Source organism: Homo sapiens, chromosome 8 (genome assembly GCF_000001405.40).
Source record: "Homo sapiens chromosome 8, GRCh38.p14 Primary Assembly".
NCBI lineage: Eukaryota > Metazoa > Chordata > Mammalia > Primates > Hominidae > Homo > Homo sapiens.
In genome coordinates this window covers 143037734-143060251 of record NC_000008.11, presented here as the reverse complement: position 1 = coordinate 143060251, position 22518 = coordinate 143037734, and the positions used below count along the sequence as shown (strand labels likewise).

The following is a 22518-nucleotide window of genomic DNA, read 5'->3' as shown; positions in this document are numbered from 1 at the left end:
TTCCTCAGGGAAAGGGAGACTCCCTTTCCTGGTCTGCTAAGTAACAGGTGCCTTCCAGGCACTGGCACTACCGCTAGACCAAGGAGCCCTGTAGTGGCCCTGTCCGGGCATGACAGAAGGCTCGCACTCTTGTCTTCTGGTCACTTCTCACCATGTCCCTTCAGCTCCTATCTCTGTATGGCCTGGTTTTTCCTAGGTTATAATTGTAGAACAAAGATTATTATAATATTGAAAAAAGAGTAATGCTACAAACTAATGATTGATAATATTCATATATAATCATATCTATAATTTATTTCTAGTATAACTATTCTTATTCTATATATTTTCTTTATTATACTGGAACAGCTTGTGCCCTTGGTCTCTTGCCTCGGCACCTGGGTGGCTTGCCGCCCACACTCATGAACAATTCAGAACATTACACAGCATAACTTCATTTACCTACCTCTATTCCATTGTACTTTCATTGTTTTAATATTTGCTTGTGCCAGACACAGTGGCTCATGACTGTAATCCCAGTACTTTGAGAGGCTGAGGTGGGAGGATCACTTGAGCTCAGGAGTTCAAGACCAGCCAGGCAACATATCATGATTCCATTTCTACAAAAAAATTTTAAAAATTAGCTGAGTGTGGTCGTGCGTGCCTATAGTCCCATATATATTTACTTGCATATATATTATAAACCTACAAGACGTTATTCTTATTTTACACCATTGATATTTTATATTTATCCAAATAGTTATTATTCTGCTTCTCTTGCCTTCTTAGAGTTCCATACTCCCATTTGGGATCGTTATAAGTTAGCTTGAAGAATGGTGCTGGATCAATGGAATATTTGTCTAAAAAAAAAACCGTCAGTAAATCATGACCCCAAACCTCACAGCCTACCCAAAACCATCCTAGCCCTGAATGTAGGACTTAAAACCATAAAACATTTAGAAGTCAACACATGGGAATATTTTAAGTAATCTTTGTCTACTCCACAAAAGCACTATCAGAGTAAATATACATGAATTTGACCTCATTAACATTGAGAATTTCTTTTCATAACAAGATGTGGCCGCATACGGTGGCTCATGACTGTAATCCCTGCACTCTGGGAGGCTGAGGCATGTGGGCGGCAAGCCACCCAGGCGCCGAGGCAAGAGACAGAGGACATGAGCCGTTCCAGTATAATAAAATATAAAACAAGAATAGTTATACCAGATATAGATCTTAGATATGATTATATATGAATATCATTAGTCATTAGTTTGTAGCAATTACTCTTTATTCCAATATTATAATAATCCTCACTCTATAATCATAGCCTAGGAAAAACCAGGCCATACAGAGATAGGAGCTGAGGGGACATAGTGAAGTGAGACCGGAAGACAAGAGTGCGAGCCCTCTGTTATGCCCGGACAGGGCCACCAGAGGGCTCCTTGGTCTAGCAGTAATGCCAGCGTCTGGGAAGACGCCGGTTGCCAGGCGGACCGAGGTCTAGCGGTAGCATAAGTGTCAAGGAAAAACACCCGCTACTTAGCAGACCGGGAAAGGAAGTCTCCCTTTCCCCAGGGGAGTTTAGAGAAGACTCTACTCCTCCACTGCATGTGGAGGGCCTGACATTAGTCAGACCGGCCCGCAGTTATCCGGAGGCCTAACCGTCTCCCTGTGATGCTGTGCTTCAGTGGTCACGCTCCTAGTCCGCTTTCATGTTCCATCCTGTACACCTGGCTCTGCCTTCTAGATAGCAGTAGTCAATTAGTGAAAGTACTAAAAGTCTCTGATATGCAGAAATAATGGCATAAGCTATCTTTCTCTGTCTCCTCTCTCTCTCTGCCTCAGCTGCCAGGCAGGGAAGGGCCCCCTGTCCAGTGGACACGCAACCCACGTGACCTTACCTATCATTGGAGATGGCTCACTCTTCTTATCCTGCCCCTTTTGCTTTGTATCCAATAAATATCAGTGCAGCCAGACATTCGGGGCCTCTACCAGTCTCTGCAACTTGGTGGTAGTGGTCCCCTGGGCCCAGCTGTCTTTTCTTTTATCTCTTTGTCTTGTGTCTTTATTTCTACAATCTCTTGTCGCCGCACGCGGGGAGAGACCCACCTACCCTGTGGGGCTGGACCCTACACCCCTTGTTTGTGCATCCTCAGAACCCTCATCACTCTCTGAAATGCTCTATTTGTTTGTAATTGAATACTGTTAAATTAATTGCACTGACGTTAATGAACTTGCCTCCACTTTCTTTCTTCTCAATTTGACTCAGTCTGTGGGCTGCCAAGATTTGAGAGAGATGCAGAGGGAGGGAGGGTCAGACAGAGACGACGCTGAGACCACCCGCACCGTGGGCCGCATCCCTCTGGTTGCGCATGGGCTGGTTGAAATCTCTCATATGGCACCCGACACAGGCCCCCAGTCAGGCCAGCTGCAGGAGCCGAAAAGTCTCACCCAGTCTAGCTGTTGATGGTTTTTCAAGAACACATCCACAGGCAGAAGCCCTAGATAGAGCTGATCAGATCGACACAGTGATTAAGCTGAATGTGCCCTTTGAGGTCATTAAACAACGCCTTACTGCTTGCTGGATTCATCCCGCCAGCGGCTGAGTCTTCAACATTGAATTCAACCCTCCCAAAACTGTGGGCATTGATGACCTGACTGGGGACCCTCTCATTCAGCATGAGGATGATAAACCAGAGACGGTTATCAAGAGACTAAAGGCAGCCAGGCGCAGTGGCTCACGCCTGTAATCCCAGCACTTTGGGAGGCCGGGGCGGGCGGATCACAAGGTCAGGAGTTCGAAACCAGCCTGGCCAATATGGTGAAACCCTGTTTCTACTAAAAATACAAAATGTAGCCGGGCATGGTGGCAGGCGCCTGTAGTCTCAGCTACTCAGGAGGCTGAGGCAGGAGAATTGCTTGAACCCTGGAGGTGGAGATTGCAGTGAGCCGAGATGGCACCACTGCACTCCAGCCTGCGTGACAGAGCAAGACTCCACCTCAAAAAAAAAAATAAAAATAATAATAATAGTAAAAAAGAGACTAAAGGCTTATAAAGCCAAACAAAGCCAGTCCCGGAATATTACCAGAAAAAAGGGGGTGTTGGAAACATTCTCCGGAACAGAAACCAACAAGATTTGGCCCTATATATACACTTTCCTACCAACTAAAGTTGCACAAACAAGCCAGAAAACTTCAGTTACTCCATGAGGAGAAATGTGTGTAACTATTAACAGGAAGATGGGCAAACCTCCTAGTCCCTGCATTTAGAAGCACTTTTCCTAAGACTTCCAATATGTATGAATTCTTTGAAAACTATATTACTTTTATTTCTACTGATTTTATTCTGGATACTAAGGATGTGCCAGATGAGTCAGATACTAAGATTCATCCTTTGAAATCATCTAGTGTGTTTTATGCAGTTATCCTCAAAAATATCAGCGATGCCTGAACTTTTAAAACATCTGTTAAAGCAAAATTAAACGAGCATTTTGTAGTAATCTCACTTTTTGTTCAGTTAATAAGTGGTTGATAAAGTTTCCATATTTTTCTGGAAAAGTTAAAAAAAGTTACATGTCATTTGGGGAAAATATGTAATCAGAAATTTTTGCATAGATTCATTCCAAAAAAAAGGCATTTCTAGCCTTTTTGTGGAACATGGTGAGACATTATATAAATTCCAGAAAGAAAACAACTGGATTTACAGATTTATTGTAAGACACAAATTCACTTCTGCCTTTACAGTAAGAAATGTATGTGCTAACCATATATGCTGTATTTATTTTGTTGTTAAGCATACTTTCAGTTTGCTCAGAATTTTCAATTTGCTATAAAAATGTATCAATTAGCATATAGAAAAATATTACTTTAAGATGACTTGTTTCTTTTGAAAATACATATATATTCGGGGTTATGATTTATGTCAGAAATTGACATCATAAGTCCTTGGACAAGCACCAAAGTTGAATGAATTTTCAACAAAATGGAATTAAAGTCTATATGTTTCCCGATGTGACTCAGGTTGATAAATGTGTTTTAGGATCTAGTTGCCGGTTTCTCTTTTCGATCCAAATGTATGATCTACCCTGATAAATAACAAGTGATAGTGCCACCCCCACCACCAAAAACAGAAAAGAAAAAAGAGGAAACCCGCGGCACTGTGTAAATAAAGTAGGCTCACTGTGTCATGAGTAAACAGATGAGGCACGCCTGGGAAATGCTCCCTTGGCATAAATAGCAATCAATCATAATTAGTAAACAGGTGTGCCAATAAAAAGAATTTATGTGACAGGTTAACAAGGACCAGGAAAGTGAGTGAGTTTCCTGAAGGAGTTCTTTGTTCCTGATCAGAGAACTCGATACCTGTTAGCATTCACTGCCGCCTTACTGTAAGGAGAAAGAACTCTATTGGCGTCGTCTAAGCAGCCATTTAAAAATTGGAATCTACAGTGATTCCTGAGTGGGCAGCAAGGGTGGCTGCTGATGTGCTGTGTGGTCTGGGAGAAGTGGAGGAAAAGCCCGATGGCGTCTTTCACGGCGTATTTACTCTTCCTTTACTTGATGCCAAGTCAAATGAAACAAGCGCTCGTACAAGCTGTTATTAATTGCCTTTAAAAATCTGGTCCGTTTTTTTCCAGGTACTTAAAATACCAGTGCCAGTAAGTGGTTCTTACGTATTTTGGGGGGAAATTTTTATTTTTCTTTTCTTCTGATATTTTAAAAATTCATTGATCTTTCAAGATGAGCCAAGGTTTTTTAAAAGAATGACAGTAAACACTTCATTCTTTACAAAACTTTCTATAATGCCTTATTTGAATGTTAATCGTATGTGCTTTCTAAAAATGTTGTGAACTGCCAAACTTATGGATTCTCACTAGGTTATCAGGCATACATTAGTCTTTATCAGAATAAAATGAAATGTCATTACTGTGGCTATTACTTTGTCCTTGGTCCTTCCCAGGGCCTGCTCCGCCCCAGCTTCCTTCCTGCTGCCTGATGTCTCAATGGCTTCTGAATGACTGTGTTCTAATAAATGATCTTAAAACAGAAAAGCAACAACAACAACAAAAAAAAAAAACAAAGTTGGTCTAAAAGTTAAGGCTAAAAGTGTGGTAATAATCAGCACTATTAAAGGGAGTAGGGCAGACAACAGCCATTGCTTCCAAGTTCCCATGGAAGTTCCTAAAGATTCCATTTTGTCTGCCTGGGTAACAATGTTTTTAATTCGTTCTACGACCAAACTGGGCTGATTGACGTAGACATGGCATTCCCCTTTTAGATATAGATACGTTCCTCCTTGTCCAGCATGAGAAGATTTAAGGCCCCTCGGTTTTGCAGGACTACGGCAGCCAGGGAGTCCAGCTGCTGTTGAAGACTCATGAGGCCCTCTGCCGTTTGCTGGAGGGCCATTCAGTCTCCCAAGACAGTTTATGCTGGATTCCCAAGGCTCTGTCTCCCGTAGCTGTCCCTGCTAATCCCAATAGAGAGGATAATACTAAACCCAAGGGAAGAAGGGGTCCTGCTCAGAGGCGGCTCGCGCAATGTTGGTACGTGGGAAAAGGGGGAGACGTAGTAGCCAGTGTGGAGTTAGATGGGGGGAGCTGTAAGCGTGGAGTTAGATGGAGGGAGCTGTAAGCGATGGAGCGCTGTCCCTTCCAGAGTGGAGGGAGTCGTAGATACACTGGAGATCCACAACCCCCCACAACTCCGTGTGGTGGTGAAATTTGTGCTACAAAAGTATTTTTCATTATAGTGGTAAAAGCAGTGGAGGTTCTATAAGAGGCGGTTTTCTATTTTCTGGCCTGTAAGTGAAAGGTTTTGTGCAGCTATGTTGGCAGTGGTCACTGGGCCCATCAGGGGATGGTAGAGTTGGATGGTAGTGTTAACAAGTTCTTTAAATAGGGTTCCCCTCTTAGGGTCCCACCACAAGTGTAGTTCTCTCTCTTTTTTTTTTTTTTTTTTTTTTTGGGATGGAGTGTAGCTCTGTCCCCCAGGCTGGAGTGCAGTGGCACCATCTCAGCTCACTGCAAACTCTGCCTCCTAGGTTCGCCATTCTCTTGCCTCAGCCTCCCAAGTAGCTGGGATTACAGGCACCCACCACCACGCCTGGCTAATTTTTTGTATTTTTAGTAGAGGAGGGGTTTCACTGTGTTAGCCAGGATGGTCTTGATCTCCCGACTTTGTGATCCACCCGCCTTGGCTTCCCAAAGTTCTGGGATTACAGGCGTTAGCCACCGCGCTCGGCCAGGTGTAGTTATCTTTAATAGGAAATGTTGATGGTCCCCAGAGGATATATTGAGCTAGAGTGATTAAAGGCTTCCCATGAGAGGGCAGCCCAGCAGAAACCAGACGTCCTAGTTGTGCTGACAGGAAGTAGAAACCATGCCGGTCAGGGAACAGGATAGAGCGGGAGATTGATTGCATGGTGAGTTGTCCATTTATCAGTATAATTCCTGCAGACATATGGACTAGATAGGTGACCCAGTGACAAAGTTTCAGCTACACTGACTCTCTTGGAGCTTTCTTGCAAAAGTGGTAGAACTGGCATGATTGCTGTAAAGGCAGAAGGGGAAATACTCCAGGTAAAAGATATGCTAAGAAAGCATTTCTCCTTTTGGGACGTTTGAATTACCGTTGATCGTTAAGAGGGGGAACTTAAAGAACCCATGAGCCCACTCAGTAAAATCCCTTTGTATTGACGGTTGGGGCTGCTATCCCTATCCTGCGGGCCAGGGAGTTTGTTCCTGGAGGTGTGCTGGGAGGCCAGAGTCTTCCACGGGCACAGGTCTGGCATATTCCCAGCGTTTGGTAGTCATGGAAAGCCAGCCAGGTTGAGTTATGTTTAATAGACTAACAGTATGGTTCATCGCTTCCCTAGCACACAGACCAGCATCTCTAAAAGCACCTAGAGCACGGCAGGCGAGCACCAAGAAAAGGAAGATGTTACTTGTCTTCCAGATCAGCCCCATCTGGAGTTGTTTTCTTGAATAGAAACTTCAGAGCCTCTGTGAGCTCCCGGGTGTCATGAGCGGCTTCCTCTGGTTTCTGTAAAGGTTAATTGCAAAGTTTAATTCTGGTCATGTGGGCCCAGCTGGTGACTCCCTGTAGCTTTACAGCCATCGGGGGTGGTTTGTAGCACTTGGTAAGGTCCCTTCCATTTAGGAAGAAGTTGATCTGCTGGGGAACCTTCCTTCTAGGTGTTTAATAGGACCCAGTCTCCAGGCAGCATTTTGCTGTTGTGTTTCACTTGCCAGGCGAGGGCAGCCCTGTGTTGCCATATTCCTGGACAGCCAGCCGTACCTGGCCTAGATTTTGAATATATTTTACAATACACTGAGTTTCAGGTTTGATTAACAGGTCTAAGGTGAGGGAGGGTCTCCCATAAGTCATTTCAAAAAGACTAAGTTTCCTTTTCGCTTTGGGGACCGTTTGTATTCTCATGAACGCGATAGATGACAGAGTATACCAAGACCCAGAAGTTTCCTGGCATAATTTTGCCAGGGTTTGCTTTAAAGTGTGACTGGTCCTTTCAATCTTGCCGGAGGATTGCGGCCTCCACGAGGAGCGGAGACGATACTTAATTCCCAAAGCTCGAGCTCCCTGCTGGGTTCTAGCTGCAAGGAGCGGGGGAGGCCAAAACATGCCTTGACCACTTCTGTAGCTTTCTCTGTTCTTGGGGGAGAGCTTCCACCCAACCGGTAAAGGTGTCTACAAAACCAAAAGGTATTTAAAGCCTCGAAAGGAGGGCGTGTGGGTGCGGTCAACCTGCCAGTCCTCAGCAGGAGGGGTTCCTGGGTTCCTCGCTGCTGGACTGGGGTTAGTGAGAGGCCTTTGTCTTTGTTTGCCCCCACGGTTATTTTGGGAGCAAAGTTCATAGGCCCGAGTGACTCTATTGTGGTTGCCAGGCCCTTGCCCATAAACAGATGGTCTACCCAGGTGGTCATGGTGTCCTGCCCCATATGGAGATAATTATGTAAATTTTTTTTTTTTGAGACGGAGTCTCGCTGTGTCCCCCAGGCTGGAGTGCAGTGGTGCGATCTCGGCTCACTGCAAGCTCTGCCTCCCGGGTTCACGCCATTCTCCTGCCTCAGCCTCCCAAGTAGCTGGGACTACAGGCGCCCGCCACCACGCCTGGCTAATTTTTTGTATTTTTAGTAGAGACGGGGTTTCACCGTGTTAGCCAGGATGGTCTCCATCTCCTGACCTCGTGATCTGCCCGCCTCAGCTTCCCAAAGTGCTGGGATTACAGGCTTGGGCCACCACGCCCGGCTTTTTTCTTTTCTTTTCTTTTTTTTTTTTGAGACAGAGTCTCACTCTGTCACCCAGGCTGGAGTGCAGTGGCACGATCTCGGCTCACTGCAACCTCTGCCTCCCGGGTTCAAGTGATTCTCCTGCCTCAGCCTCCCGAGTAGCTGGAATTACAGGTGGGTGCCACCATGCCCGGCTAATTTTTGTATTTTTAGTAGAGACGGGGTTTCTCCATGTAGGCCAGGGTGGTCTAGAACTCCTGACCTCAAGTGATCCACGTGCTTCGGCCTCCCAAAGTGCTGGGATTACAGGTGTGAGCCACTGTGCCCAGCTGGGAATCATGTAAACTTTTAACCATTTTCTACTGGTCTGGCTGAGGAAGCAAGAGCTTTTGACCTATGAGCCACTAACCTTCAGGTGTTAGAGTCCCCTGACTTTCTTTAGCTTATGCTTGTTTTGATGTTTTAATTATTATTAGTTTTGAGTCAGAGTCTTGCTCTGTCACCCAGGCTGGAGTGCAATGGTGCGATCTTGGGTCGCTGCAACCTCTGCCTCCCCAGTTCAAGTGACTCTCCTGCCTCAGCCTCCCGAGTAGCTGGGATTACGGGTGCATGCCATCACGGCCAGCTAATTTTTGTATTTTTAGTAGAGACGGGGTTTCACCATGTTGGCTAGGCTGGTCTCGAACTCCTGACCTCAGATGATCCGCTCGCCTTGGCCTCCTAAAGTGCTGGGATTACAGCCACCACGCTGAGCTGCTAGTTCTTTTGTAGTTAAGATGGATTTACGTCAAGAGAATGGGCACAGGGGAACAAGGCTAGCTGGGCCACTGCTCCCGGAGTTCCCTCTTAGCTTTCCTGTCAGCCCTTGCATTTCCCAATGTCACTGAGGAGTTTCCTCTTTGATGTCCCAGGCAGTGAAGGGCTGCCACTCGCTCAGGCTCCTGCACAGCCTCTAAAAGCCGCAGTATTTCTTTTGCATATGTAATGGGGGATTTCCTTGCATTTAGAAGACCTGTTCTTTCCAAATGTTGTGTGTGCACGAGGGACAAGGGAGGCGCCCTTGGAGTCCGCACACCCGTGAAGCGCCTTTCCCCGACCCCGAGCCGGGCCCTGGTCAGGGGACTCACTCTGCTTTTTGCGCCGAGGTATTAGGTGGCAGTGTGGGCATCTGTTGTTTGGTGTAGACTAACCACAGCATGTCCTGCCCCTCTTTTTTTATTTTCCATGCAACTACTTCCATCCGTGAGCCATTCAGCACCAGGATTCTAGAGGGTGCACCCCTGAGGTCTATTCTACTGTGGAAGGCCTGGCCCATGTTGCAACCCTGGAACGAGTTAGGTTCTCCCAGGAACAGGCTGGCATGAGAGAAGCTGGATTAAGGGTACCACAGGTTTTTATAGTAACCTTGAGGGAGTCCAGGAGGGCGCCTGATCACGGCAAGTCTTCCTCCCAAGAGCCAACATGGCCCTTTATTTCTAAAACTCCCTGCACCTGGTGGGGAGTGAGGACCTCGAAGGTGTGTCTGAAAGTCAGGTTTTGGGGCCGGGCAAGCTGGCTCACTCCTGTAATCCCAGCACTTTAGGAGGCTGAGACGGGTGGGTCACTTTAGGTCAGGAGTTTGTGACCACCTTGGCCAGCATGGTGAAACCCCGCGTCTACTAAAAATACAAAAATTAGCCAGACGTGATGGTGCATGCCTGTAATTCCAGCTACTCGGGAGGCTGAGGCAGGAGAATCGCTTTAACCCGGGAGGCAAAGGTTGCAGTGAGTCGAGATCACACCACTGCACTCCAGCTTGGTGACAGAGCAAGACTCCGTCTCAAAAAAAAAAAAAAAAAAAAAAAGTCAGGTTTTGGGCTTCTTCTACTAGAATGGCGATGGCTGCAACTGCCCTAAGGCAGCCAGGCCACCTGCAGGGCGCAGAGTCCAGCTGCTTTGGAAAGGAGCCAACCAGATGAGACGTTTCTCCCACAACCGGACCAGGCGTTTCTCCCACAACTGGACGAGGTGTTTCTCCCACAACCAGACAGGGTGTTTCTCCCAGTTTCGGGAGGACTCCTAGGGCTACTCTCCATTTCTCTGCTACAGAAGATGAGTTTTTGTTTTTTTTGCTTCCATTGGATTAGATTATTTATAGATGTGAGTCTATAAATTAGATCATTTATGGGACATGTGTCATAATGGTCCCCTCTCCATTTGGGACCTCCCATAAGGGGAGCAGTTTCTCTGGCCCTGGATGGTGTGAAGTCCCAGTGCGAGCAGCTCCAGCTGGGCAAGTCCCTATTGTACCTGCAAAGGAGGAGGAGCATAAGGAGGGGGTGAAATGGGATTAGATTCCACAGGAGACTCTGATAGTGCGGGGGATGCTGGGGAGTCGGAAGGAGGTGTGGAGCCCTGAGAACCCCTATCTGGACTTGGAGTTGGGCCATGGGGCCTGGAGTCCCTTCCCTTTAATAAAAGAGGGTCTTCGCATGGGTCTGGGGGGCTTTCTGGCTTACTGGATTTTAGCCTGCAGGTGCTGCATAAAGCCGGGTTCCGTTGTAAGGCCATAAATACCTACTCATGGGTACTTCTGACCATTGTCCCTGATTCCTCTGGAAAGACGGAGCTGCGGGATGGCGATGAAGCTCACAGTTCCACTCTCTGACCACTTTTCATTGTCAGCTAACTTGTACCCAGGACAAACAGTGTAACAAAAGATGTCTTTTCCGTTTTAGCTCACCTAGCCGAAAGGTGTTCCAATTTTTACAGATACATCCCAGGGGTGTTCAGTGAGAGTAGAGAAGGTGGTTCCCGTGGTGCCGAGAGAATCCTGCAATGACAAAAACAGATACCAAAGTCCAGGAGGTCACAGGTGTCCCCGAGCCAAGCTGGACCATGACAGGGTGTGGGACATCCCCTTGAACCCCCATGAAATCAGGGCGCTAGGAGGTCACGGGCATTTGGCATACACCGTCCTGGGTCTCACGGGCGCTGGAAGTCTCCAGGCCCGACTGAGGTGGCCCCCGCTGCTGGCTGGGGGGCCCAACGTCTCATCAGCGAGCCTTTCCCTGCCTCACTGGTTGGCCATTGGTGATGCCCGATTACAGTGCCTGGAATACCCGATGCAGTCCCCACAGCCTGGCAGATACATGACTGAGCATCTTTTGTTCAGCAAAGAACGCCAGTTGAAGGACCATCTGAAGGAGGTGGAAAATGCATAAGGTCTGGAGGGACAGCGCACTCTTAATGTGTCCCTCAAAACAGATTTCGGCCAGGCACGGTGGCTCACACCTGTAATCCCAACACTTAGGGAGGCCAAGGTGGATGGATCACTTGAGGTCAGCAGTTCGAGACCAGCCTGGCCAACATGGTGAAACCCCCATCTCTACTAAAAGTACAAAAAATTAGCCGGGCGTGGTGGCAGACCCCTGTAGTCCCAGCAACCCAGGAGGCTGAGGCGGGAGAATCGCTTGAACCAGGAGGTGGAGGTTGCAGTGAGCTGAGGTGGTGTCATGGCACTCCAGCCTGGGCAAAAGAGACTCTGTCTCAAAAAAAAAAAAAAAAAAAAGAAAATTTTGTAAAACAGAAAACCCGATCAGACAATAAATCACAATGGCCACGAGGTGGCGGCCGAGTGCTACCAGAGGGACAGCAAACGGGCTGTGTCTGAAACGAGGCCAGAAAGGCGTGAAACCAAGCAGCGAAACAGCCCAAATACTGAATGTTGAGAGCAACCGATGTGGTTGGATAATGATGAGTGGTGCAGAGGCAGCAGCCAGAGGAGAGCAGCACATATATCCACAGAAACGGTCCAGGCAACTTAGAAACCTTCCCCGGAGCTTGACTGAAACAGCCCTGGGCAAACCAGCGGCAGCCAACCAGGCAGCCTGGCACTGCCACGGTACCCGCTGCGGGGAAGGGAAACTGGAGTGAATGACGCAGACGAACCTCCATCCGAGTCACAGCACCAGAAACGTTGGCGGCTGCTGTGAGGCCTCCATTCTTGTCTTCTTAGTTTAAAAGAATTTAAACAAGAGACACACAGCCAAGGAGATGCAGCACAGAGCAATGTATTGCAAAGGAGAAAGAACATTTTGAAAGTTTGATGCAGAAGAGATAGGACGCCCTGAGAGAGAGGATTCAGGGCCGGCTGCTTGTAAGGGCGAGACAGCAGAGACTGGCACCAGGGAGGCTCCTCCATGGGAGTCTTCCATGATTACTCACAGCGGGTGGGCAGAGGTGTTGCTAGGAAGCATGTTCTGGGGGGGTCCTCTGGGTGCACACGTGCAGTAGCTGCACCTGCTTGCTCATACGTCGCATGTGTCATTAGCATCTTAAATCTCCACCAGGGGTGTGTTTTCTATTATAATGAGCAAAGGGTCAGTCTGAGGACAGGGAAAATCAAATATGCCTGCTCTGTAGTTGGGAGGGGGGATTTCTCTCCTGGAGCTAGCTTTGCTTGGATGAGCTGGACCACAGCGCAAATGCAAAGGCTTACTGTGTTGACTGTACAGTGGCCACGGTGGCTGCATCCCAAGGATATGGTCACTTCCTTGACTACCTATCCTGGCTCATGAGCAGAAGTCAAGCCCCTGGGCCAGGCGCCGTGCCTCTCATGCCTGTAATCCCAGCACTTTGGGAGGCCGAGGCAGGCAGATCACCTGAGCTCAGGAGTTTGAGACTGGCCAACATGGTAAAACCCCGTCTCTACTAAAAATACAAAAGAAAAAAAAAAGCCGGGCGTGGTGGCAGGCGCCTGTAATCCCAGCTACTCCGGAGGCTGAGGCAGGAGAATCACTTGAACCCGGGAGGCAGAGGTTGCAGTGAGCTGAGATGGCACCATTGCACTCCAGCCTGGGTAACAGAGCAAGACTCCATCTTAAAAAAAAAAAATCAAGCCCCTACCATAATGCTAACCTTGTGGTCTTTCGTTAGTTTTACAAAGGCGGCTTTGGTCTCAAGGAGTGGAGTAGTTTTGGGAAGACACTATTATCATCCTTACTTTATTTTTTATTTGTATTCATTTATTTTTGTTTTGAGATGGAGTTTCGCTCTTGTCACCCAGGCTGGAGTACAATGGCACAATAACGGCTCACTGCAACCTCCACATCTCGGGTTAAAGTGATTCTCCTGCCTCAGCCTCCTGAGTAGCTGGGATTACAGGTGCCCGCCACCACGCCAGCTAATTTTTATTTTTTTTCAGTAGAGACAGGGTTTCGTCATGTTGACCAGGCCGATCTCGAACTCCTGACCTCAGGTGATTCACCTGCCTCGGTCTCCCAAAGGTATTAGAGGTGTAAGCCACCATGCCTGGCCCATCCTTACTCTAAACTATGAACTAAATTCCTCCCATAGTTAGCTTGGCCTATGCCACCTGAGCAAAGGCAAGTTAGCTTGTGAGATTAGAAAGCAAGATGGAGTCAGTTATGTTAGATTCCTCTCATTTTTTTTTTTTTTTTTTGAGCTGGAGTCTCACTCTGTCACCCAAGCTGGAGTGTAGTGGCGCAATCTCATCTCACTGCAAGCTCTGCCTCCCGGGTTCATGCCATTCTCCTGCCTTAGCCTCCCAAGTAGCTGGGACTACAGGCACCTGCCACCACGCCCTGCTAATTTTTTTGTAGTTTTAGTAAAGATGGGGTTTCACTATGTTAGGCAGGATGGTCTCGATCTCCTGACCTTGTGATCCGCCCACTTCAGCCTCCCAAAGTGCTGGGATCACAGGCGTGAGCCACCGTGCCTGGCCTCCTCTCATTGTTATAATCTTGCAAAAGTGGTTTCACTCCTGGCCTCAAGCTATCTTCCTGCCTTGGCCTCCCAAAGTGATGAGATTACAGATGTGAGCCACCAGGCCCACCTGCTGCCAATTCTAGTATAAAGAGTAAATTGGGCTGGGCGTGGTAGCTGACACTTGTAATCGTAGCACTTTGGGAGGCCAAGGTGAGAGGATCACTTGAGGTCAGGAGTTCGAGACCAGCCTGGCCAACATGGTGAAACCCCATCTCTACTAATATACAAAAATTAACTGGGTGTGGTGGTGGGCACCTGTAGTCACAGCTACTCGGGAGGCTGAGGCAGGAGAATTGCTTGAACCTGGGAAGCAGAGGTTGCAGTGAGCCAAGACTGTGCCACTGTACTCCAGCTTGGGTAACAGTGAGACTCCAGCTCAAAAGAAAAAAAAAAATGAGTAAATTGGCCTGGAGTCACCTATTGCTCCAGTAGCAAGTTCCTGTGAAATGGAAATTCAGGAACCCACCCTTGTTCTGGGCCAGTCAGGAAGAGCCTGAGGGGAGGAGCCGCTGAGGGCAGGGCCTCTCCCTGCCCCACCTTCCTCTCTCTGGCAAGCCTGCAGGGCAAGTGGCTGAGAATCAGCCAGAGGGAGGAAAGTGAGGAGGGGTGGACCAGGCCTGGGAGGGTCCTGGGTGGGGGCGCTAAGGAGAGGAGGTGCAGTACAGCCATGGGGCTCTGGGTGAGAATTGCAGGGAAGGATGGGAGGGAGGAATGGGGACTGGGGTGGGGGCGTGAGGCAGACAGTTCTCCTTTGGGTGACTGTGCTGAGGACAGGGTGGGAGATGGAGAGCCGGATGTTCTGGCTTTGCTGCTGTGCAGGACTCATTCGATCCCCAGGAGGGTGAGGAGTCCGAGGGCTGCTCTGATTCGCTGAAGTTTGTCTGTGCACTAGCACCCTGGAATGAGCAGTCTCCAGGCCATGAAGACCTTGTCCCTGGTCCTGCTGGTGGCCCTGCTGAGCATGGAGAGAGGTGAGAAGCAGAGGGGCCTTTAGAGGACTTTGTTCCAGCGCACTCCTGCTGCCCCGTGTGTGCTGGAACTAGTTGCAGGTGGGTGTGCTCGGAAGGCGTGCCTGCTGGGGGTGGCGGGCTTCGGTGTTCCGGTGGCAGAGGTGACTGGTGTGTTTGGTGCCTGCTCTGTGCTTGTTACCGCGCGTGCTGGCTGTGCTCACTTCCGAGGACTCACTGAGTCCTGGGCACGTGTATGCCTTTGGCATTGGGCAGTGGCTGCTGGTGCCTCTGGACAAAGAGGTGGTGTTGGAGGGTTGCAGGCCACCAGTTGCAGGCTGCCAGTTGCAGGCAGGTGTGTGGGGCTATTGCAAAGGTCCAGGTGGCAGGTTGGGACAAGGGTGGTGGTGAGAGTGGGTGCCCTTGTGGGCATGGGACTCTCACCAGGGCATTGGTGTATGTCCTGGCATGTGCTGCAGTCACCCACCTTGCCCTCTCTCCCAGCTCAGGGTCTGCGCTGCTACAGATGCTTGGCGGTCTTGGAAGGGGCCTCCTGCAGCGTGGTCTCGTGCCCCTTCCTGGATGGGGTCTGTGTCTCCCAGAAAGTGAGCGTCTTTGGCAGTGAGTCCCTGGGGTGCCAGGGCAGAGGGCAGGTTCTGGGGAGGGAGGGGCACTTCTTAGATAGCTGCATGATGGACCAAGGTCCCCCTACAAGCCCTCAGCACTTTGGGGGCCGGTCTGTGGCTCCTGAGGTGGGGGGTGGGGTGGGGTGGGCATGGCGGGCAGGACCTGTGCAGGGAAGGGTGGAAGAGCGGCAGGGCTGAGGAGCCTGGGCCACCAAACTGAGCCTAAGGGTTGTGGGTCTGCAGGGACAGGGGATGTTCCGGGTTCTAGAGCAGGGGGCGCCCACAGGGCCCTCATTACTGTGGAAACCATCCCAGCCCCTCCCAGTGCCCAGCAGCAGGGCCCACACCAACTTCCCAGTAGCCTCCCAACGCCAGCTGCTGTAGCTACTCTGGGGACCCCAGTGACCTCTGCCCCTTGTCCCCACTTCATGCCGCGGGTCTCACCAGCTCCATGCAGGAGAGGCGCAGGCTGTGAGCATTCAGTGAGTTACCTGCCTGGAAGAACCTGGAGACAGTTAGCTTCAAGCTAAAGGAATGACTCTGGAATGGTGGGATATCAGCCAGGCCATGGGAGGACTGGGGAGGGGCTGCAGCCTGCCCAGGCCCTCAGCACCCTCAGCACCCTCAGCACCCTCAGCTCTCGGAGCTGCATCTGTCCCCAGGCCACACCCTTCAGTGAGGTGAGGCAGGAAAAGGCCTGCCCTGGCCGGGCACGGTGGCTCATGACTGTAGTCCCAGCACTTTGGGAGGCCAAGGCGGGGGGATCACCTGAGGTCGGGAGTTGGAGACCAGCCTGACCAACATGGAGAAACCCTGTATCTATTAAAAATACAAAATTAGCCGGGCCTGGTGGGGCATGCCTGTAATCCCAGCTACTGGGGAGGCTGAGGCAGGAGAATCGCTTGAACCCAGGAGGTGGAGGTTGTGGTGAGCAGAGATCGCCCCATTGCACTCCAGCCTGGGCCACAAGAGCAAAACTCCATCTCAAAAAGATATTTAAAAAAAAAAAAGCCAGCCTGGAGCCCGCAGCTGTTTCCCAAAAGCAGCACCCAGCTCCCCTCCACAGCCCACCCAGCTCCCGCTTCGGGGGTCCCAAGGCCGGGGCAGGGTGAGGGCTGCCTGGGGAAAGAACTCAAACCCTGCTGCCCTTTCTGCCACAACCCTGGTTCCCTGGGTGGCCTCAGCGTCCCCTAAGTGAAAGGGCTCCGATGGCCTTGGTCCTGATGGCTTTGATGTTCAGGCTCCCAGCCAGCAGATGTTGGGGTGCGGAGCCTCCCTGCAGAAAGCCCCTGAGGCCCCGGGGCAGGGCCCTGCTCATCCCCCACCCCGCTCTCTCGCAGGTAAAGTGAGAGGGGAGAACAAGCTCTCCCTCCTCTCCTGCCAGAAGGACGTCGGATTCCCCCTGCTGAAACTTACAAGTGCCGTTGTGGACTCCCAGATCTCTTGCTGCAAGGGAGACCTCTGCAATGCGGTGGTCCTGGCAGCCAGCAGCCCCTGGGCCCTGTGCGTACAGCTCCTGCTCAGCCTGGGGTCAGTCTTCCTCTGGGCCCTGCTGTGAGGGCCTTTCCCGCCCTCTCCCCCGCAGGCCTACCCTCTGTCCCTGTGCGTCACCAGCTGCTTGGTTTTGAAGAGCTGCCTCACTGAATTGCAGGAATTCTGGTGTGGCTTTTCAGCCATGAGATCAGGGGAAGGATGTGGCCAGGGCAGAGGTCGGGGCTTCCCTGTCAGGGAACATATCCCTGCTTAAACTCCTTGTCCTCTGGGCCCAGGCCCTCCAGCCCATGCCCCCCAACAACACCACTTTTTTCAGAGCTGGGCCTCAGAGACCAGGCCCCACCACTGGCTGCTTGGGACCTAGGGTCATAGAGAAACCGTGGCCCAGGGCGGGAGTCCCCAGCTCCATCCAGCTTGCCACTAACTTGCCGAGGAGCCAGGGCCAACCCCTCAGCTCTCTGGGCTACCTGAATCCAAGCAAGGAGGGAACGTGGTCCCAGGGGGCCCTGCTGGCCTCCCACACAGGATGAGGGCCTCCCTCTCAAGGTCAACAAACAGCCCTTTGCTGACCCACTCAGCGTCAGCACTCGGCTTCTTCCTCACCATTCCTGAGGCCGCCCACCTGCCACTCTGACCTCAGGCCTCTGCAACATCCTGCTGGCACCATGGCCTTGGGGAGGTGCTCCTGGGGCACGGGTGCCCCCCCAGGGACCAGAACCCACAGAGTGCCAGGCTCATGGCTCTTCTGGCAGAACTCTTGCCATGTGGCTCCAGGGAACATCTGAGTAGGGTTGTCAGAGAGCCTCTGGATGGTCACCAAGAGGCAGAGCTCCTGCGGCCACCAGCCATCCTGTGGTGTGGGCCAGGCCTGTCATTTCTGTGCCCTGGCTAGGGCTCCCATGATGCCCCGTGTCAGGGGTTAGACTGGTCTCCCCTGGTGGTGGGAGAAAGGGGCTCCTTCAGGACTGCACTCTGGACAGAAAGTCAGGGCTGGGCTCAGAATGGTCTGGGTGGACGGTCATCTCAGCCTGGAGTCAGGGCTGGGCTGAGAACGCCCTGGGTGGACGGTCGTCTCAGCCTGGAGTCAGGGCTGGGCTGAGAACGCCCTGGGTGGACGGCCGTCTCAGCCTGGAGTCAGGGCTGGGCTGAGAACGCCCTGGGTGGACGGCCGTCTCAGCCTGGAGTCAGGGCTGGGCTGAGAACGCCCTGGGTGGACGGCCGTCTCAGCCTGGAGTCAGGGCTGGGCTGAGAACGCCCTGGGTGGACGGCCGTCTCAGCCTGGAGTCAGGGCTGGGCTGAGAACGCCCTGGGTGGACGGCCGTCTCAGCCTGGAGTCAGGGCTGGGCTCAGAACAGTCTGGGTGGACGGCTATTGTCAGGGACCCCAAACAGAGGGACCGGCTGAAGCCATGGAAGAAGAACATAAATTGTGAAGATTTCATGGACATTTATTAGTTCCCCAAATTAATACTTTTATAATTTCTTATGCCTGTCTTTACTGCAATCTCTGAACATAAATTGTGAAGATTTCATGGACACTTATCACTTCCCCAATCAATACCCTTGTGATTTCCTATGCCTGTCTTTAATCTTTTAATCCCATCATCTTCGTAAGCTGAGGAGGATGTATATTGCCTCAGGACCCTGTGATGATTGTGTTAACTGCACAAATTGTTTGCAGAGCATGTGTGTTTGAACAATATGAAATCTGGGTACCTTGAAAAAAGAACAGGGTAACAGCAACGTTCAGGGAACAAGAGAGATCACCTTAAACTCTGGTTGCCTGTGAGCCAGGTGAAACAGAGCCATATTTCTCTTCTTTCAAAAGCAAATAGGAGAAATATCGCTGAATTCTTTTTCTCAGCAAGGAACATCCCTGAGAAAGAGAATGTATCCCTAAGGGGAGGCCTCTGAAATGTCTGCTTTGGGGACGGCTGCCTTTTACAGTTGTAGATAAGGGATGAAATAAGCCCCAGTCTCCCGCAGTGCTCCCAGGCTTATTAGGATGAGGAAATTCCCGCCTAATAAATTTTGGTCAGACTGGTTGTCTGCTCTCAAACCCTGTCTCCTGATAAGATGTTATCAATGACAATGTGTGCCCAAAACTTCATTAGCAATTTTAATTTCGCCCCGGTCCCGTGGTCCTGTGATCTCGCCCTGCCTCCGTTTGCCTTGTGATATCTTATTACCTTGTGAAGCATGTGATCTCTGTGACCCACATCCTATTTGTACACTCCCTCCCCTTCTGAAAATCACTAATAAAAATTTGCTGGTTTTACGGCTCAGGGGGCATCACGGAACCTGCCGACATGTGATGTCTCCCCCGGACGCCCAGCTTTGAAATTTCTCTCTTTTGTACTCTGTCCCTTTATTTCTCAGACTGGCCGACACTTAGGGAAAATAGAAAAGAACCTACATGAAATATCGGGGGTGAATTTCCCCCGATAGATGACCATCTCAGCCTGGGGTCAGGGCAGGGCTCAGAATGGTCTGGGTGGACGGCCGTCTCAGCCTGGAGTCAGGGCAGGGCTCAAGGTCTGGGTGAATGGCCATCTCAGCCTGGAGTCAGGGCTGGGCTCAGACGACCAGCAGTCTTTGACCTGCCATGCCGGGAGCCACATCTCGTGACCAGGTCCTGGCCTTCCACGCTGGCCAGACGCCTGCATCCAAGACGTCCTGGTCCCTCTGACTGCACAGTGTGACAGCCACCACCCAGCCATGCCCTGTACTCCTGGATGTGATTTGCTAATTAGGGTCAATGGGGTAAGATGCCCAATTAAATATGAATTTCAGATAAACAATTTTTAGCATAAGTATGTCCCAAACATTGGTAAAAATGACTATTTGTTGTTTATCTGAGATTCAGATCAAACTGGGCATCTTGGACATTTTATTTGCTCAACTAGAAATTCATGAGTGCCTAAGGAGCTCAAGGGACATTCCAGACCCCCCAAATCTGTGTCGGACACAGGGGCAGTCACAATGGGGTGCAGTGGTTGTACCTGGTGACTCAGGACATTCGTCTACCTCCTCATGTCCCCCCTGCCTCTAGCACCACAGTGTCATGCCCTACCCTCCAGGGGGCCCAGAAAGCAGTGCTTTTGCCCAGGGCCATTGTCCCCTAGATAGAGGGTTCAGCCCAAGGAGGGCAGCCCTGATTCCCAAGCCTCCTGCAGCACTGACTCTCCACTGCAGCAGGCCTGGGGTTTCTGGCCATGGCTCGCCTTTGGCTCACCTCTCCAGAAGGTCTCTGGAAGCTTCTTCCCCACAGGGTCCTCCCTTCCACTGTAACCTTCCCTGGTTCTGGGAAACAAACTTGAGAGGCCCAGGCGCACCCCACCTCTTCTCTTTAGGTCTCCACAGCTTTTCCTCTGCCTCGTCCCCAAGGGGATCACTCTGGCCTTTCCCCTCTCCAGTGACCCTCTCCACACCCTCCCGGCTTCCCCCTTCCTCTGAGCACCCCAGATGCCAAAGGACAAGGTGAGGGAGCCTTTGGAGAAATGTTGCCTGACGTCACTGGTCCCCCACGCTCGGGGGACCCACACGGCCCGCCCTGCAGGCAGCCCCCTCCCCGCAGGCAGCCCCCTCCCCGCAGGCCGCCCCCTCCCCACCTCACCTCACAGCTGCAGGGGTCGGGGCTCGGAAGTGCTGGGGGCAGTTCAGGTTGAAGGCTGGGCAGCGTGCACTTCTCCCCCAGCCTCCTGGGGCCCGGGCATCACCGGAAGCGGAGTTTGTTCCCACTTTGTATCAGTCGCAAAGAAAGAGCACCCAATTGGACAAAAGGCAAGCAGGCTGCGTTCCTGGCCCGGAGTGGAGAAGAGTGAGCCCCTGCCCTGTCAGGGAAGCTGAGGCTGGGGGTTGTGAGGAGTCCCGTGCCGGGAGGAGGCTGCAGGAGCGCCTCAATGCACCTCTTGATACCACGCATGCTTAGCAAGGCCTGGGGACTGTCCTCTCGGGCAGGACTTCCGCCTTGTAATGACATGTCGCTGATTTAAAGGGAACTGGGGGTCACCAGCTCTGGTTTGTGCAAGTCTGGTGCGTTCTTATCTCCCTTGTATTTGGCAGGGGATCCTAAACCTCTCCTGGTATGTTGAGACATCTGGAGCTCATTAAGCCTCGGCGCCTGTAGATAAAGAGATTAAAGGAAAAAAGAAAAGAAATCCCGCCCTGGGGCAGCTGGGGTAGGATTAGCCTGGAGGCCACGCCTCTGCAGGGTCTCCCATAGGCTGGGCCAGCCTCTGCCCTCCCTGCTTCCAGAACCCCGGACGCTGATGGCCTGTGGCGGCCACTCTCCGCCCACCCCGGAGCCCAGCCTAGCGGGGAGAAGGCCGCCGGCCCGTTCGAATGTCCCTCTGCTTCCAGGGTCAGCCTGCACGCCACTCTCACAGAGGCCAGACGGGCGGTGGGGCGGGGACTCAGTTCATCCTCTGCCTGAGGAGCAGGTCTCGGGTGCGACTGAGCTTTTCACCCTTTGAGAGGAGTCAGGGACACGCAGCGTCTCCAGCAAGCTGGTGGCAGAAACTGATGGAGCATCCTAATCACAAAATAGGAAGAGAGTTTGCAAAATAGGAGCATTTACCAGAAGCCTCTCTCTCTCCCTCCCTCCCTCCCTCCCTCTCTCTCTCTCTCCCTCTCTCTCTCTCTCTCTCTCTCTCTCTCTCTCTCTCTCTCTCTCTCTCTCTCTCTCTCTCTCTCTCTCTCTCTCTCTCCCTCCCTCCCTCTCTCCCTCTCTCTCTCCCTCCCTCCCTCTCTCTCTCCCTCCCTCCCTCTCTCCCTCCCTCCCTCTCTCTCTCTCTGTGTGTCTCTCAAGTAGAAGTGGGGTCTCTATGTTGCCCAGGCTGCTCTCGAACTCCGAGGCTCAAGCGATCCTCCTGCCTCAGCCTCCCAAAGTGCTGCGATTACAGGTGTGAACTACTGGGCCCAGCCCCAGGCCCTCTTACAGGAGTGGGCTGCCTAGAAACATTCCAGTGCCATATCCCACTCCACTCCGGGTGCAGGGACAGGACCCCTGCCACCCCCAACCCAGGCCCAAAAGGAGGGGCCAGGAGGGGAGGGGCCACCAAGGCAGGTGAGCTGCTTAAGAGGAGCGAGGGCTGTGGACAGTCCTGCGGACTGCAGGAGGGGCCAGCAGGATCAATATCCAGCTTCTCTCTCCTGCTGGGCTCCTGCTGGGGCTCCCTGTTGGTCACCCCAAAACCTACTGTCTCTCATCGCTGCCGGGGCTGGCCAGGCTCAGCTGCTGGTTCTGCCTTGGGGCACCTCCTAGGTGGAGTCAGGGTGGCTGAAGGCTTCCCCACTCATGCGTCCACTGTCTGGACATCCTGCCCCTGCCCGACCTCCAGGAGTTGCAGTGTGTGAAGGCCACACCACAGCCCCTCTCTGCTGCCTCCCTCATGTCTCCTCCAGAATGATGCTCTTAACCCCCTCATTAGAGGCCCCCATCCTTCCCAAC

The 22518-nt window shown here is 51.5% G+C and overlaps 1 protein-coding gene, 1 long non-coding RNA gene and 1 pseudogene across 6 annotated transcripts in view, besides 4 other annotated features; 2 read left to right on the top strand and 1 right to left on the bottom strand.

The window, feature by feature from the left end:
* LY6S (lymphocyte antigen 6 family member S) overlaps nt 1-19413 on the top strand; it is a 35633-nt gene extending 16220 nt beyond the window's left edge. The window contains exons 1-4 of one of the 3 annotated variants that reach the window (NM_001406478.1): nt 14542-14679; nt 14893-14971; nt 15452-15568; nt 16914-19413. In NM_001406478.1, coding sequence (NP_001393407.1) covers nt 14902-14971; nt 15452-15568; nt 16914-17131 — 405 coding nt within the window. In that variant the 5' untranslated portion in view covers nt 14542-14679; nt 14893-14901 and the 3' untranslated portion in view covers nt 17132-19413. Of the gene's footprint in view, nt 1-14541; nt 14680-14819; nt 14972-15451; nt 15569-16913 lie in introns of those variants that run through there. The other 2 variants (NM_001406477.1, XR_008485573.1) reach the window with 2 other exon arrangements.
* Nucleotides 2405-2994, top strand: AK3P2 (AK3 pseudogene 2; annotated as a pseudogene).
* Nucleotides 5949-21043, bottom strand: LY6S-AS1 (LY6S antisense RNA 1). Of its 3 annotated transcripts, NR_126398.1 has the most exons (8): nt 20683-21043; nt 17165-17294; nt 16990-17074; nt 16018-16078; nt 15435-15603; nt 12438-12573; nt 10954-11043; nt 5949-7026 (listed from the first exon to the last, which is right to left on the bottom strand). It is a non-coding gene; the product is annotated as an LY6S antisense RNA 1 (long non-coding RNA). The 3 variants fall into 3 exon arrangements; NR_149322.1 differs by lacking the exons at nt 12438-12573; nt 16018-16078 and having other exon boundaries at nt 16990-17089; NR_126399.1 differs by lacking the exons at nt 16018-16078; nt 17165-17294.
* Nucleotides 14456-15068: an enhancer, noted in NCBI's record as "H3K27ac-H3K4me1 hESC enhancer chr8:144126601-144127213 (GRCh37/hg19 assembly coordinates)". NCBI's record gives its function as "activates a minimal SCP1, AML or CMV promoter by ChIP-STARR-seq in primed H9 embryonic stem cells {active_cell/tissue: H9 hESC(primed)}" and the evidence as "EXISTENCE:reporter gene assay evidence [ECO:0000049][PMID:30033119]".
* Nucleotides 17071-17646: an enhancer, noted in NCBI's record as "H3K4me1 hESC enhancer chr8:144124023-144124598 (GRCh37/hg19 assembly coordinates)". NCBI's record gives its function as "activates a minimal SCP1, AML or CMV promoter by ChIP-STARR-seq in primed H9 embryonic stem cells {active_cell/tissue: H9 hESC(primed)}" and the evidence as "EXISTENCE:reporter gene assay evidence [ECO:0000049][PMID:30033119]".
* Nucleotides 18223-18798: an enhancer, noted in NCBI's record as "H3K4me1 hESC enhancer chr8:144122871-144123446 (GRCh37/hg19 assembly coordinates)". NCBI's record gives its function as "activates a minimal SCP1, AML or CMV promoter by ChIP-STARR-seq in naive H9 embryonic stem cells {active_cell/tissue: H9 hESC(naive)}" and the evidence as "EXISTENCE:reporter gene assay evidence [ECO:0000049][PMID:30033119]".
* Nucleotides 20820-21371: an enhancer, noted in NCBI's record as "NANOG-H3K27ac-H3K4me1 hESC enhancer chr8:144120298-144120849 (GRCh37/hg19 assembly coordinates)". NCBI's record gives its function as "activates a minimal SCP1, AML or CMV promoter by ChIP-STARR-seq in naive H9 embryonic stem cells {active_cell/tissue: H9 hESC(naive)}" and the evidence as "EXISTENCE:reporter gene assay evidence [ECO:0000049][PMID:30033119]".